General features: G+C 50.8%; 1 protein-coding gene across 3 annotated transcripts in view, besides 1 other annotated feature; it reads right to left on the bottom strand.

Annotated features, from left to right (window-relative positions):
- The window catches only part of TEAD4 (TEA domain transcription factor 4), an 81280-nt gene that overhangs the window by 57405 nt on the left and 8406 nt on the right, over positions 1-15469 (bottom strand). The window lies entirely within an intron of this gene.
- Positions 1623-2242: an enhancer, noted in NCBI's record as "H3K27ac-H3K4me1 hESC enhancer chr12:3090196-3090815 (GRCh37/hg19 assembly coordinates)". NCBI's record gives its function as "activates a minimal SCP1, AML or CMV promoter by ChIP-STARR-seq in naive H9 embryonic stem cells {active_cell/tissue: H9 hESC(naive)}" and the evidence as "EXISTENCE:reporter gene assay evidence [ECO:0000049][PMID:30033119]".

Below are 15469 nucleotides of genomic sequence, written 5' to 3'. Positions count from 1 at the left end.
TCATAAGAGCTATTTCTTATTGTCTTCATTGTTACTAAGCCATAAACAATGCCAAGTAGAAAGTCTGAAGCCCTAATGCCTAATATTAATACTTAATTAATTAATCATTTTAATACCTGAGGCCTCTTAAGTCCTGGTTGTAGCCTAGATTTTCTTCTGGACCTGACACTAAGTACAGATGGATGCCCTGAGTCAGGTGGAGGGTGCGGTGGAGGCCAGGATGTCAGGAGACGGAAAGGAGGGCCGCCACCTCCCTTACCCCACCTGACCCCTTCTATGGTCTCTGGGCCCTGCTCCTCCTCAGAATTCCCCTTCCTTCACCCAAGCTGAGCTGGACTGGCCTGGTGAAGTGAGCACCATCAGTCCCTGCAGAAGTTGGGCCTAGGGCAGCCCAGCAGAACACACACCTGGGGAGAACCAAAGACTCCTAATGCCAGACCCTGCCCCACGAGTGGGGTTTTCTGAGGACCTGCACTCCATGTCCCTAGGATTGGGTCTGTCCCAGGAAAAGCAGGGCAGCAGGTCATCCAAGGCCCTGGGCCACAGGGTTTGTTACCGAAATGGGGTTGCTCCCAGCCCCACGTGTCCCTGGTGCTCCAGGTTCACAGCCGTCACTGGCGAGCTTCTCCTATCTGCCCGCGGCCCACATCCCGGGGCTGGCAGCTGCCTCCTGCCACCAGGCAAACCTCCCACGCACCGCCCTGCCCTGCGGCTCATGGAATGGGGTAAGCCAGCACCAGCCTCCTCCTCCTTCCCCAAGTGCACCACAGTGACCCAGGAGGGCCTGCCAGGGGAGAGCTGGAGGCGGGGGACAGATGGCATCGTGGAGCTGGGCCATGCGCTGTGAACAGAAGAGTAAAAATAATCCCAGACTTGGTTCTCAGGGCCCAGCCCAGGAGCCTCTACTCTGCCTCAGCCCCAACCAAAAGCTACAGGGTAGCCCCCAGGGCAACCCCAGAAGACAGCAGGTTGCTCCATCCTAGGGCCCACAGGTGCTAATTACTCAGGAATTTCCAGAAGGATCAGGAATGTATGGGCTTTTATTAAGATCTCCCTAATACTCAGAACAGTAAGCTCCTCCAAAAACACTTTCAGGACAGGAAGGGAATCAGGATGCTAAGTTCCAAATGGAGAGTCCAAGCCTCAGGGAGGGCAAAGGACCTGCCCCGAGAAAAGGCAGAACCAGACCCCAGGCCAACCTGACGTCCTCTCCCTAGTCCGATCCATCTCACGCTCCCAGAGCCCTCCTTTCAGAGCCTTCTGCAGCCACTGTGATCCCTAAGCCCCTCACAACTCCTCCAGCCTCTAGAGCTGAGACAGAGAATTCAGAAGAAAACACCCTGATTTTGGGGGTCACTGGGCTTCATCTCTCAAAATAAGAAATGGAGAAGTCTCTTCATTTTAAGAGAAATCATCTCTTAAAATGAGACAGGTGAAAGAGGAGCAGCAGACCCCAGCCTTCTTCCAGGTGCATCCCCACTACCCTCCAGCACCCCTGGGCTTCTCACCATCTCCTGAGCCCCAAGTCTGTTCATACTGCTTCCCTGCTTAGGGTGGGCCTCAGTACTAATTTAATTCCTGCCAACAGTCCATCAACTAACTCTTTACTTGAAGTACCTGTTCTTGGACTAAACTCTAGAGAAAAGGGTCCAGACCTTCATGGGGCTCAGACTTCAGATGGGGATGGGAGACTAGACAGACATGCAAACAGGTAAGTGCTATGGAGTGTCAGAGGCTTGGGTGGAGGTAGGTACAGGGCACAAGCGGGTGCAGTGAGAGGCCCCCTCTACCCTGAAGGGTTCCCTGAGCCCCAGTTCCCAGAGGCCCCTGAGCTGCTACACTGATTGCCTGAATGTGCTGTGCTACTCTGGCCAGTCAGTTGTCTGCTGTCTTCCACGCTAACTAAGCTTGGAAACTCAGGAGCTGGAAGACAAAGGGAGGAGGCCAGGGGACCTGGGCGGGAAAGAAGAACCTATCCTGCAGGTAGTGCCGGGTGGGCTGTGCTGCCTCCTCACACAGTGCAAGCCCCTGTGCACTGGGCAGGCGACCCTGCAGGACGGATACAGGCAGCCCAGCACTTGTGGGAGGGCTGAGTGTCAAAGAGGTGCCCTGGACACTGAGGGACACACGTTTTACTACTTTAACACTAGGAGGTGCCAGTTTCAAATGCCCACTCTGCATCAGGCACTGGGCAAAGCACTTGACTACATCTTCCTCCAATCCTGCCCCCATCCCCTTGAGGTAGCTGCACTGCCCCATTTGGCAGGTGAAGATGCTGAGGCTCCTAAGGTGAAGTGCTGTGTCCCAGCCCAAAGCCAGTAAGAGACAAGGCTCAGACTGCGGCTCTGAAGCCCTTCCCCACTGCAAGCTGCCTCCTGCCCATCATGATGCTGCTTTTTTCTTGAGATGGAGTTTCGCTCTTGACCTCAGACATCTGCCCGCCTCGCCCTCCCAAACTGCTGGGATTACAGGCGTGAGTCACTGCGCCTGGCCATGATGCTTCTTTGACCTATTTTGCCAACTTTTTTTTTTTTTAATTGAGACAGAGTCTTGCTCTGTCACCCAGGCTGGAGTACAGTGGAGCGATATGGACTCACTGCAATCTCAGCCTCCTAGGTTCAAGAGATTCTCCTGCCTCAGCCTCCTGAGTAGCTGGAATTACAGGCGTGCACCACCATGCCCAGCTAATTTTTGTTTTTTTAGTAGAGGTGGGGTTTCACCATGTTGGCCAGACTGGTCTCGAGCTCCTGTCCTCAAGTGATCCGCCCGTCTCGGCCTCCCAAAGTGCTGGGATTACAGGCGTAAGCCACCACATCCAGCCTATTTTGCAAACACTTCTGTTGACAATAGGAAGGGGGATGATCTGACTCTGCAGCACGAGGGATGCAAGTTAGATGTGCAGAGTTGGAGGGAGGGGTAGCCTGGATTGGCAGGCTAAGGGAGCTAGAGAAGTTCATCTCTGCAGACACGAAGACCTCTTGGTCTCTTTCGTTGCATGGACCCCACTGTTCCTACGGCCTCCAGTGAAGGTCCCAGCGGAGAGAGGCAGGGTTCCCAGGGTTTGTGTGGAAAGAATCTCGGGGAAGAAAACTGCCCTCCAATGTATAAGTGAGGAGACTAAGGCCCTGAGAGGTGAACTGACTTGCCAAAGACCACAAAACCTGTTAAAACTGGGACTAGAACTACATCTCAGGCCTGCACTTTTCTGCCACACAATTCCAACCTCCATGACCATCACTGGATGCCTCTCAGTGAGCACAGGAGAGGGCTTCTTCCCAGGGAGGAGAGGAACAGGCTCCCCTGCCAGAAAGATCTCTCCCTGCTGATTCTCATGCCTAACAACTCAGCACAGGTACTTCAGTCCTTGTGCCCTTCATTCACTCACTGTTCACTGGGCATGTACTATATGACAGGCATTGGGCGCTGCTCTGGTATGAACGTGCCCCTCAAAGTTCGTGGGTTAAAAACTTAATCCCCAACACAAGAATGTTGGGAGATGGAGCCTTTAAGATGTGATTGGGCCTTGCTGAATGGATTAATGCTGTCATCTCAGGAGGGAAGGAGGGAGAGTCATCTATGAAGATGCAAGTACAGTCAATCCTCATTAATCACAGAATAGTCACAGATTTTGTACTTGCAAGTTTGCCAACTTGCTAAAATTTCTAACCCCCAAATCACTACTCCCAGTATCTTCACAGTCATTTGTGGACACATGCGTGCACTGAGCAGCCACAAATTCTCACTGCCTGACGCGCACGCTCCCAGCTGAGGTCGGCAACGCCGCACTTCGTCTACCTGGGTCAGCTCTCCTGCAGGTGTCTTGTTCTGGGTCTATTTAGTGCTGTGACTTCTGCACTTTTGCAGGTGCTTTTGCTGCCTCAAGTGGTCCCAAGCATAGTGCGGAAGTGCTGTCTGCTGTTCCTGAGCACAGAATGTCAAAAGGCACCAGGATAGTCAAAAGGGGAAGCAGCCCAAATGTCCATCAATAGAGGAATGGATAAACAAAATGTGGTGCATCCAGGTAATGGAGGATGATTCGACCTTAAAAAGGAATGAGACCGGGCGCGGTGGCTCACGCCTGTAATCCCAGCACTTTGGGAGGCCGAGGCAGGCAGATCACCTGAGGTCGGGAGCTCGAGACCAGCCTGGCCAACAATGTGAAACCCTGTCTCTACTAAAAATACAAAAATTAGCCGGGCATGGTGGCAGGTGCCTGTAATCCCAGCTACTCGGGAGGTTGAGGCACAAGAATCGCTTGAACCAGGGAGGCGGAGGTTGCAGTGAGCTGAGATCACACTACTGCACTCCAGCCTGGGCAACAGAGTGAGACTCCATCTCCAAAACAAACAAACAAAAAAGGCATGAAATTCTGACATAGGCTACAACATGGATGAACCTTAAGGACATTGCACTAAGTGAAACAAGCCAGTCATGAAAGGACAAATCTCATGTTATTTCACTTCCATGAAGTACTGAGAATATGCAAATCCATAGAGACAGCCGAAGAGAGACTATCAGGGGTTGGGGATGGGGGAATGGGGAGTTTCATTCATAACATTAACAGTCATTGTCAGGCGCAGTGGTTCACACCCGTAATCCCAGCACTCTGGGAGGCCGAGGCAGGTGGATCACCTGAGGTCAGGAGTTCGAGACCAGCCTGGCCAACATGGTGAAACCTGTCTCTACTAAAAAATACAAAAATTAGCCAGGGGCGGTGGCGCAGGCCTATAGTCCCAGCTACTTAGGAGGCTGAGGCACAAAAATCACTTGAACCCCGGAGGCAGCGAGCCAAGATCGCACCACTGCACTCCAGCCTGGGCAATAAAGTGAGTAAAGTGAGACTCCCTCTCAAAACAAAACAAAACAAAAAAAAACAAAAAGACAAAAAAAAAAAACAGGCACTTACTGTTTAACGGGTACAGCGTTTCAGTTTCGGAAGATGAAAAAGTTCTGGAGATGGAAGCAGGAGACTGCAGCACAATTGTGAATGTCCTTAATGCCACCAAACTGCACACTTGGAGTTCAAATGGCAAATTTTATGTTACATATATTTCACCAAAAAAATTGTTTAAAGCGCACCAGGAGATAGAAGACAAAAAGAAGAGGGCAGAGAAGGAAAAGAGGGTCTGCAGGGGACCTGGGCCCGAAATACAGGAGCAAAGGAAAGGGCCTGGTTACAGCTGGAAAAGAAAAGAGAAGGACAGGAGAGTCCCCAGGTCACAGGCAGGTGAGTCCCGAGGGATGGAAGGAAAGGGATTGGTGGAGAAGGAAAGAACCCAGCAGAGAAATGGATTTGGTTGGGCTGGGCCGGGCCAGGCTGTGTACTCAGTTAGAAACAAACAGATCCCATTGTGATTTCGGAAGGGCCAGGGCCTGCCGGAGGCCAAAAAAGGGCCCTTCTCAGAAAACAAGACCAAGAAAACCTAGGTGTCCCAGGGCCTGAGCTCCCACCACTGGAGTGCCTTCCTCTTGCTGAGCAGTGCCCCTTCCTCTCCTGAAATGCAACAAGTTCTCGGGAAAGGCCACGTGAAGTCCGGGACATGTTAAAGACGCCTCAGAGTCCTATGACCTGAGTGAAACCTGCCTCTCACCAGCTACGTTGCACAGCTGTTCAGCAACTTACTGAACCTCCCCAAAGCTTCTGTTTCATCACCTGTCAAATGGGGATGAGCATTCCTGCCTGCAGAGCCACTGAGGATTGAGAAAAGCAAGTAAAGCCCCTGCAAGGCAATGCACGGCAGCACCTTCCCGGCCATCCTTTGGTGTGAGGCCTTCATCACACCTGGCTTCAGGACAGGATGGGGAACGGGGAGCAGGTGAGAGGGGGGGAGGCCCCACAATCCTTCCCAGGCTAAGGAGATGTTGGAACAAAAGTCAGAGAGCTGGACCCCTTGAGCAATGCCTGGTCAAAAGAGAGAGGAAAAAGAAGGGAAGGGGGAAAGGGAGAGAGAGCAGGAAGGGGAGAAAGAGAAAGAGAGAGAGAGACGCCTGGGGCAGAGATTTAGCGTTTGGGCTCTGGACTCAAGACGCCTGAGCTCAGATCCTGGCCCAGCCTCACAGGGACCTGGGAGTCCTGAGCAAGCTACTCTAATCCTCAGTGTCCTCCCAACCACTGAAGAGGCACCAGTGCAATCTCAATCTCCCCAAATAACGGCTGTGAGGATTGAATTCCATCATGTCCATGAGCACAGAGCCTGGCCCAAAAAGGGGCTCCTTGCACGTGATTCACGGTCATTGCCCTGTAGTCATCAGGAGGGATGATGGAGGGCGGGACAGAGAGGAAGGAGCAGGAGGCCTGCAGGCTAGCAAGAGGGGAGGTAAATTAAGTAAATGGAGATGGCCTGGGATGCAGGCCAGCTGGGAGGAGTCTCCAGTGGGAGGGGCAGCTCAGAGAGCAACAGAGGGAGATAAGATTCCTAAATGCTGCAGGCCCCAGCCCAGGCCCAACCCAAGCAGTCTCTTCCCACCCAGCCCCCAGGCCCGGGCGGCAATGGGGTGGCGAGTACTTGCCTGGACCCAGCATCCCATCTCCTCAGCTCTCAGCCTGGACCCAGCATCCCATCTCCTCAGCTCTCAGGGAGGTGGAAGCTGGGAACCCCACCCCCAACCCCTTCGGCGTCAGGGGCGTGGGTATCTGCAGGCCCCACCCAACACATGCAGGAAGTGGGTCAAGGCAAGTGGTGAACAGAGGCCTTGCCCCCTGGCCTCCCCTCAGCCTCTGGACAAAGCTGTGATGATACAGGTTTAGTTCCAGAACAGCGCCCGGCCCAGAGGCCCCTGGAAACAGGTACCCAGAGGAAGGCAAATTAGCCTCCAAGCGCAGCTTTGCCACAGGTTCGTGGTGCCTCTTGAGCCAGTCACTTCCCCTCTCTGGGCCTCAGTGCCTCCATTTGCAAAAACAAAAGGTTGGGAGGGGGCAGGGTGTAATACTATTCAGAAAAAAAAAAAAAGAAATGAGATGGCCAGGTGTGGAGGTTCACGCCTGTAATCCCAGCACTTTGGGAGGCCGAGGTGGGCAGATCATCTGAGGTCAGGAATTCAAGACCAGCCCGGCGTCTTGGTGGAACACAAAATGGTGTGTCTACTAAAAATATAAAAATTAGCCGGGCATGGTGGCACGTGCCTGTAGTCCCAGCTACTCGGGAGGCTGAGGCAGGAGAATCACTTGAACCCAGGAGGCAGAAGTTGCAGTGAGCCAAGATCATGCCACTGCACTCCAGCCTGGGTGACAGAGCAAGACTTTGTCTCAAAAAAAAAAAAAAATGAGCTATGAAAAGACATGGAGGAAACTCAAATGCGTATTACTTAGTGAGAGACGCCAATCTGAAAAGGCCACATAGTGTATGATTCCAACCATATGACATTCTAGAAAAGGCAAAACTACAGGGACAGTCAAAAGATCAATGGTTGCCAGAAGTGGGAAGGAGGGATGAATAAACGGAACCTGGAGGATTTGGGGAACGGTGATGCTATTCTGCATGATACTGTAATGGTGGGTACACATTATTACCCATGTGCCAAAACCCAGAGTGGACAACACCAAGAAGGGACCCTAATGTGAACTATGGACTCTAATAATGTGCTGGCTGGGCACGGTGGCTCATGCCTGTAATCCCAGCACTTTGGGAGGCCGAGGTGGGCAGATCACCTGAGGTCAGGAGTTCAAGACCAGCCTGACCAACATGGGGAAACCCTGTCTCTACTAAAAATACAAAATTAGCTGGGTGTGGTGGCGCATGCCTGTAATCCCAGCTACTTGAGAGGCTGAGGCAGGAAAATTGCTTGAATCTGGGAGGCAGAGGTTGCCATGAGCCGAGATCACACCATTGCACCCCAGCCTGGGCAACAAGAGCAAGACTCCATCTCTAGTAATAATAATAATAATAATAATAATAATAATAATAATAATAATAATGTGCCGATATTGACTCATTAATTGCAACAAATGTACATCAATTGCAACAAATGCAAGATGTTAAGACTAGGAGAAACTGACTGGGGGCGGGGCAAGAATGTATCTACGGGAAGTCTACTTTCTGCTCAAGTTTTCTATAAACCCCAAACTACTCAAAATTATAGTCTTTTTTTGTTTGTTTGTTTTAAGGGTTGAGAGACTTTTTCTCCTCGGGGCCTTTCTTCAGGGTTCTAGAATAAAGCAAAAGTTGCCATGACAGGGATACTAAAAAATAAATAAATACAAAATTTTAAAAGTGAAATAAAGCAAAAAGCAAAAATTATGAAAATACAGTACTTGAGAGGCAAAAGTACTCAACCAAACCAATTGGCTTCACTTTAAGGAGGCGTGTCCTAGGAAAATGCAGATCTGAAAATATTAATAGATTTAGCCCGGGAGTGACTAACAGAAGCACTTGCCCTGGAATTCCGTCAAAGCCAGCACACTTGTTTCCTCAGCCTCGGGGGTGGGTTTGCCCTCAATCAGCTGCTCTCAAAGTCAGGCAGGAGGATCCCACCCTGTCAGAACCCGAGGGTCAGCCCAAACCAGGTGTCCAAGCAGCACGGGCATCTGGGGTGGGGCCTCGGTGCACGCCCTGCCCTGGGAGAAGGAGGAGCCAGGCAGAAGAGGGAGTCTCCACACCGGGGAATGCCTTCCAGGACCCAGAGCCTCAGGGAGCCACAGGACATCCTGGAGGCAGTGGGGCACTAGGAGCTCCGGGAAAGTAGGACTCCAGCTCTGCCCTACTCTCCAGCCCTACGCCCTAAGCACCTCTGGAAAAGCATCTGCACCCCCAGGGGGAAGAATGAAGACTCGAGCCTCTGGACTGGGCCATGGCTCTGAGGACATAGGAGCAGGCGGGGTTAGAATGAGCTTGGACAAGAGGTGGGAGGCGGCATCCATCCTGGCCTTGGTCATTTTTCATGTAAGTCTTCTGTCCCAGAGCCACCCTGCCTGGTCAGGGATAGGAAGGAAGATTATGATGTTTCAGACATTCTGTTAACAGCTCAAAGCTGGCCGGGCACGGTGGCTTACGCCTGTAATCCCAGCACTTTGGGAGGCCGAGGCAGGTGGATCACCTGAGGTCAACAGTTCGAGACCAACCTGGCCAACATGGCGAGACTCCCATCTCTACTAAAAATACAAAAATTAGCCAGGCGTGGTGGCTCAAGCCTGTAATTCCAGCTACTCGGGAGGCTAAGGCACCTTGAAAACCTGGGAGACAGAGGCTGCAGTGAGCCAAGATCGTGACACTACACTCCGGTCTGGGCGACAGAGTGAGACTCCGTCTCAGAAAAAAGAAAAAAGAAAAAACAATAGCTGGAAGCCTTCACTCAGACCCTAGGCTGAGGTTACCATCCCAGAGGACCCACCCTGACCCAGAAAACTCACCCCCACTGATTCTGTCTTGCACCAGCCACACACCCAGCACCTTACTCCTGCAGGCCTGCCAGTTACCGCGCCTCCCATTCCAGAAGGCACGATCATCCGGTTTGGAAACAAGGCCATGGAAGTGGTTGAAATGCAGGCTGGACATGAACATTTGTTTTTCTGGATGGGGCCAGCCCGGCCTGACCCAGCAGGCCATTAGCTGCAGACCAGGTGCAGCCCGCCAGGCAGGAAGGATGCCCGGCAAACCAAAATTCCCACCTGTGCCTCTCATTCTGAACCATGCTCTACGCCAGGAACAGAGCTTCTTGGAAGGCCCCGTGACTCCTCTTTTTCATGTCATTCTCTAGGTGTACCCCACTCCTCATTCCTGGTCCCATCTTGCACTGTGAGAAAGGCCACAGCTCAGGACACCAAACTCTCACCTCACTTTCAGAGTTCCTCACTCCCATCATCTTGTGAAGATTTTCTCCATAAACTAATTTCCTCCAAACATCTGTAAATCACATATCTGACTGTCCTGACAAAGAACCTGTATCCAGAATATGAAAGAACTCTCAGAACAACAGCTGGGCATGGTGGCACACACCCACAACTGTGGGAGGCGAGGCGGGTGGACTGCTTGAGCCAGGAGTTCAAGACCAGCCTAGGCAACATGGCGAAACCTCATCTCTACAAAAAGTACAAAAATGAGCCGGGCGTGGTGGCGTGTGCCTGTGGTCTCCACTACTCAAGAGGCTGAGGTGGGAGGGACACTTGAGCCTGGGTGGTCAAGGCTGCAGTGAGCTATGACCTTGCTGAGTGAAAGAAGCAAAGACCCAAAGAGCTATGTAACTGCATGATTCCATTTGTGAGACATTCTTGAAAGGCAAAATTATAGGAATGAACAGATCAGCGTGGCCAGGGGATGCCAAGAGGGGAAGGGGGAGGGATGACCTCCAAGGGGCCAATGCATGGATGGAATCGTTTGGGGGATGGAACAGTCTTTACCTTGATGGTGGCGGTGAAAACACATTCTGTGCATTTGTCAACATCTACTACTTACCAAAAACACTGTATTTTGCTGTATGTATGTTAAAAATAAATTTAGGGAAAGATTCACTCTATTTTATAGGATGAGATGTTTTTCTACAGGCGCGGTGGCTCACGCCTGTAATCCCAGCACTTTGGGAGGCCGAGGCGGGCGGATCACCTGAGGTCAGGAGTTCGAGACCAACCTGACCAACATGGAGAAACCCTGTCTCTACTAAAAATACAAAAAATTAGCGGAGTATGGTGGCGCATGCCTGTAATCCCAGCTACTTGGGAGGCTGAGGCAGGAGAATTACTTGAACCCAGGAGGCGGAGGTTGCAGTGAGCCGAGATTGCACCATTGCACTCCAGCCTGGGCAACAAAAGCAAAACTCTGTCTCAAAAAAAAAAAAAAAAAAAAAAAAAGAGACATGCTGCCTGAGTCTAAATAAACGTAAAAAATGAACGTAAAATAAGACCTTCTTATCCTGCCCAGAGGGCCTAGCTCAAACCCACCCTGTTCATAAAACCCACTTGGCCGGGTATGGTGGCTCACACCCGTAATCCAAGCACTTTGAGGGTCCGAGACGGGAGGATGGCTTGAGCCCAGGAGTTTGAGACCAGCCTGGGCAACACAGTGAGATCCTATCTCTAGAAATAATGTTTTAAAAATTAGCCAGGTGTGGTGGCACATGTCTGTGGTCCCAGCTACTCAGGAGGCTGAGGCAGGAGGATTGCTTGAACCCAGGAGCTCAAGGCTGAAGGGAGCTGTGATCACACCACCACACTCCAGCCTGGGTGGCAGAGTGAGACTCTGTGGCTCACGCCTGTAATCCCAGCACTTTGGGAGGCTGAAGCCAGGGGATCACTTGAGGTCAGGAGTTCGAGACCAGCCTGACCAACATGGCAAAACCCCATCCCTACTGAAAATGCAAAAAATAGCCGGGCATCATGACACGTGCCTGTAATCTCAACTATTTGGGAGGCTGAGGCAGGAGAATCACTTGAACCCGGGAGGCGGAGGTTGCAGTGAGCTGTGATCGCGCCACTGCACTCCAGCCTGGGTGATAGAGTGAAACTTCACCTCAAAAAAAAAAAAAAAAGAAAGAAAGAAAAAAAAAAGGATATAAAAATAAAACCCACAGCCAGGCGGGGTGGCTCATGCCTGTAATCCCAGCACTTTGGGAGGCCGTGGCGGGCAGATCATGAGGTCAGGAGATCGAGACCATCCTGGCTAACATGGTGAAACCCCGTCTCTACTAAAAATACAAAAAATTAGCCAGGTGTGGTGGGGGGTGCCTGTAGTCCCAGCTACTCAGGAGGCTGAGGCGGGAGAATGGCATGAACCCGGGAGGCGGAGCTTGCAGTGAGCCGAGATCGCACCACAGCACTCCAGCCTGGGCGACAGAGCGAGACTCTGTCAAAAAAATAAATAAGATAAAATAAAATAAAATAAAAATAAAAATAAAACCCGCAAAAAACAAAACCCACTTACCTCCCCTCCTCTCATCACTTCATGACAATAGCCCTCAAATCACATTTTCTCTGTCTTCTCAAGGATAGTTCTGTTTCTCTTCCTCTCTGTCTGCTTCCCTCTCTCTTACACATATACACGCTTGTCAGAACCCCACCCACTCTCAAAGCCAGCTCAACTGCCTCCTCCTCTTGGGACAGAATCAATCATCCTTTACCAGGCACTGCCACAGACCCTGCTTGTGCACGTTCTTTCGTCTTGCAGTATGTTACTGCTAGCTTCACAGTCCATTTCCCTGCAAGTTCCATGAGGACAGGAACCAGGGCTTCCGTTCCATACTCCCGCTGCACCTAGCACAGTGCCGGGCACACCGTGGGTGCTGTGGCTGCTGTGGATTGGGTGAGGGCAGGTGCAGTCGGAGGGAGCTGATGCCAAGAGAGGAGAGCTGGCTGTGCTGGGCTGGCAGTGCCCTGAGGAGGTATGGGAGGCACTGGTACAGCTTACTTCTTCTCTTGCATAAGCAGCAACTATTGCTTCAACCTCCAAGTGCTGGAAGTGACCCCACCTCTCATTCCAACATGAGGTCATGCAATTTACGACGGAGCATTTCCGAGGATGCTTTTGCTTCCTGCATGCCACCCGGCACAGTTCAAGCCCCAGGCAGACAGATGCTCAGGATGCACCTGCCGAGGGATGGGAACCTGTCTTGTCATCAGGATGCTGTCATTTCTCACTTCCAGAAGGCAGGTGCTCTTCACAGCAAAGAGTAGATTAGGATCTTCGGATCTGAAGTCCATTTCATTATGGAGAACTACCACAGTACAAACGTGGACTATCAGTAACTCCACAGGGCCACTCTACGATTGGGTTTTTCCACACACATCATCGACCCCCTACCTCTTACAAATTCCAGCTTCGACAGTTTTTAAGAACCATTTATAGGTCATTTATTTGACAAACACTTACACAGTGGTTATTATGTGCCGGGGAAAGAACTAAGCACTTTACAGATATTAACTCATTTAGTCTTCACATACACCGTATGAGGTTGGTTCTATTAACCTTATTATCCCACCCAGGTGTTAAGTGGCAGAACAGAGATTCAAACCCAGGCGGGCTGGCTGGAAAGCCACACTGTGCCAACCACGACCACTCGCCCCACGTGGTTACTGAACACAAGAAACGTTGTTAGTCCAAATTGAGACGTGTTGTTAAGTGTACAATACACACTACGGTTCTAGCGCTTTGTGTGGAAAGAAGGTAAACTATCTCATTGATACTTTTTACTATTGATTACGTTAAAATGATAATATTGTAGTCATAGGTTAAAGAATATATTATTACAATGCATTTTACCAGTTAAGTTTTCCTTTCTTTTTTTTAGAGGCAGGGTTCTCGCTATGTTGCCCAGGCTGGTCTCAAACCCCTGGGCTCAAGCAACTCTCCCGCCTCAGCCTCCTGAGTAACTGGGACCATGGGCAAAAGCCACCACACCCAGCTCTTTTTACTTTTTAAATGTAACTCCTAGGCTTACATAGTATTTCTATTGGACAGCACCACTCTGGAGTCTGCACTGATAGCCACTGCTCTCTGGGGTTGTGGGGGGTCATCTTCCCCACCCTCCAGCCTCAGGGCAAGACCCAGATTCCGCCTGTTCCTAACACCGTGCTTGTTTGGACAAAGACGATGGCAGCCACGCAATAATTCCCTCATCTCCCCATTCTGCTTCCTCTGACTGCTCAGACACTGCACCCTCGTCCCAAGCCTTGCCTCCAACTCCAGGTGCAGCTTCGCTGTACTACCTCCCTGTAGCAGGAATCCCGAAGTGTTTCATCTAGTGGAATCCCCGCATGCTGATATGTGGAGAAACTGAGGCCCAGGACCACAAAATCTTCGAGGAAGCAGTGGCCCTGGAGGTGACCTAGTCCTTTCCCATGCAGGGCAGAGACTCCTCCAAAGCATCCCTAGTAAGTTCTACATAATGAAACTCTATGTACAGTAGTCCTTTGGTATCTGTGGGTGATCGGTTCCAAGGCCTCTAAGGATACTGAAACCCGAGGATGCTCAAGTCCCTCATATAAAACGGTACAGTGTTTGCACATAACTTACGCACATCCTCCCATGTGCTTTAAATCATTTCTAGAGAACTTATCATACCTAACACAACGCATGCACATCACTTCATTTGCATGGATTCAATGCAGCATTCAGTGAGCAGCAAATTCAAGTTTTGCTTTCTGGAACTCTGTGGAATGTTTTCCCCTGAACACTGTCGATCCAGGGTGGGTCGAATCCATGTGGAACCTACAGATACAGAGGGCCCACTAGTTTTATGTGGTTTTACATAATGAAGTAATAGACTTCAGGTCAGATGGACCTAACCTGCTACTGCTGTAAAGGGTGCCTACCTTCTAGAAATGAGAAATGACAGCACCCAGATGCTGGGCAGGTTCTAAGTCCTCATCCAGCCTCTGTTAAGACACTCACAGGCCCAGCACAGTGGCTCATACCTGTAATCCCAGCACTTTGGGAGGCTGAAGCTGGAGGATCGCTTGAGGCGAGGAGTTTAAGACCAGCCTGGGCAAAATAAAGATAGCAAGACCTTGTTTCTACAAAAAGTTTTAAAAATTGGCAGGGCATGGTGGCACAAACCTGTCATCCCAGCTACTTGGGAGACTGAGGCAGGAGGACCATCTGAGTGCAGGAGTTTGAGGCTACAGTGAGCTATGATCACACCACTGCACTCCAGCCTGGGCAACAGAGCAAGATCCTATCTATTAAAACAAAACAAAACAAAAAAAACACCAGCCTGGGAAACACAGCAAGATCCTGTCTCTATGAAAAATAAAAATTAAAACAAAAAAAATGTTAGGCGGGCATGGCATCACCTGTGGTCCCAGCTACTGAGACCTGAGTAGCTGAGAAAGCTGAGGTGGGAGGATCACTTGGGCGCGGGAGGTTGAGGCCACAGTGAGCTGTGATTGCAACGCTGCACTCTAGCCTGGGTGACAGAGTTAAGACCCTGTCTCACAAAAAAAAAAAAAAAAAAAAAAAAAAAGGCCGGGCGCGGTGGCTCACACCTGTAATCCCAGCACTTTGGGAGGCCGAGGTGGGCAGATCACCTGAGGTCGGGAGTTCGAGACCAGCCTGGCCAACATGGAAAAACCCTATCTTTACTAAAAATACAAAATTAGCCAGGCATGGTGGCAAATGCCCGTAATTCCAGCTACTCAGGAGGCTGTGGCAGGAGAATCGCTTGAACCCGGAAGGTGGAGGCTGCGGTGAGTCGAGATCACGCCATTGCACTCCAACCTGAGCAACAAGAGCGAAACTCCGTCTCAAAAAAAAAAAAAAAAAAAAGACCCACATGTTTGAGATCAGATCACTGGTTGGGGGTAGAGGAAGACCCACAAAAATGGCGAGCTCAATACTTAACAGCTCAGGATATATAAACTTTCCAAAACCAGATGTGGCTTCCAATGTGGCCAGAGGGTCACAGAGCTTAGTGAGTAAAGGTTTCCCTTGACACAGACCTTACCACAGCACTGGCCCACACAGGCTTATGGTTTAATGGGGCAGTTTGAGAGTCAGATTGACCTGGGTCCAAACTCCAACTGCAGTATAACTTCTACAGTGTCCCC

Source organism: Homo sapiens, chromosome 12, assembly GCF_000001405.40.
Source record: "Homo sapiens chromosome 12, GRCh38.p14 Primary Assembly".
In the NCBI taxonomy this organism is placed as follows: domain Eukaryota; kingdom Metazoa; phylum Chordata; class Mammalia; order Primates; family Hominidae; genus Homo; species Homo sapiens.
This window is presented reverse-complemented; position numbering and strand designations above follow the sequence as displayed.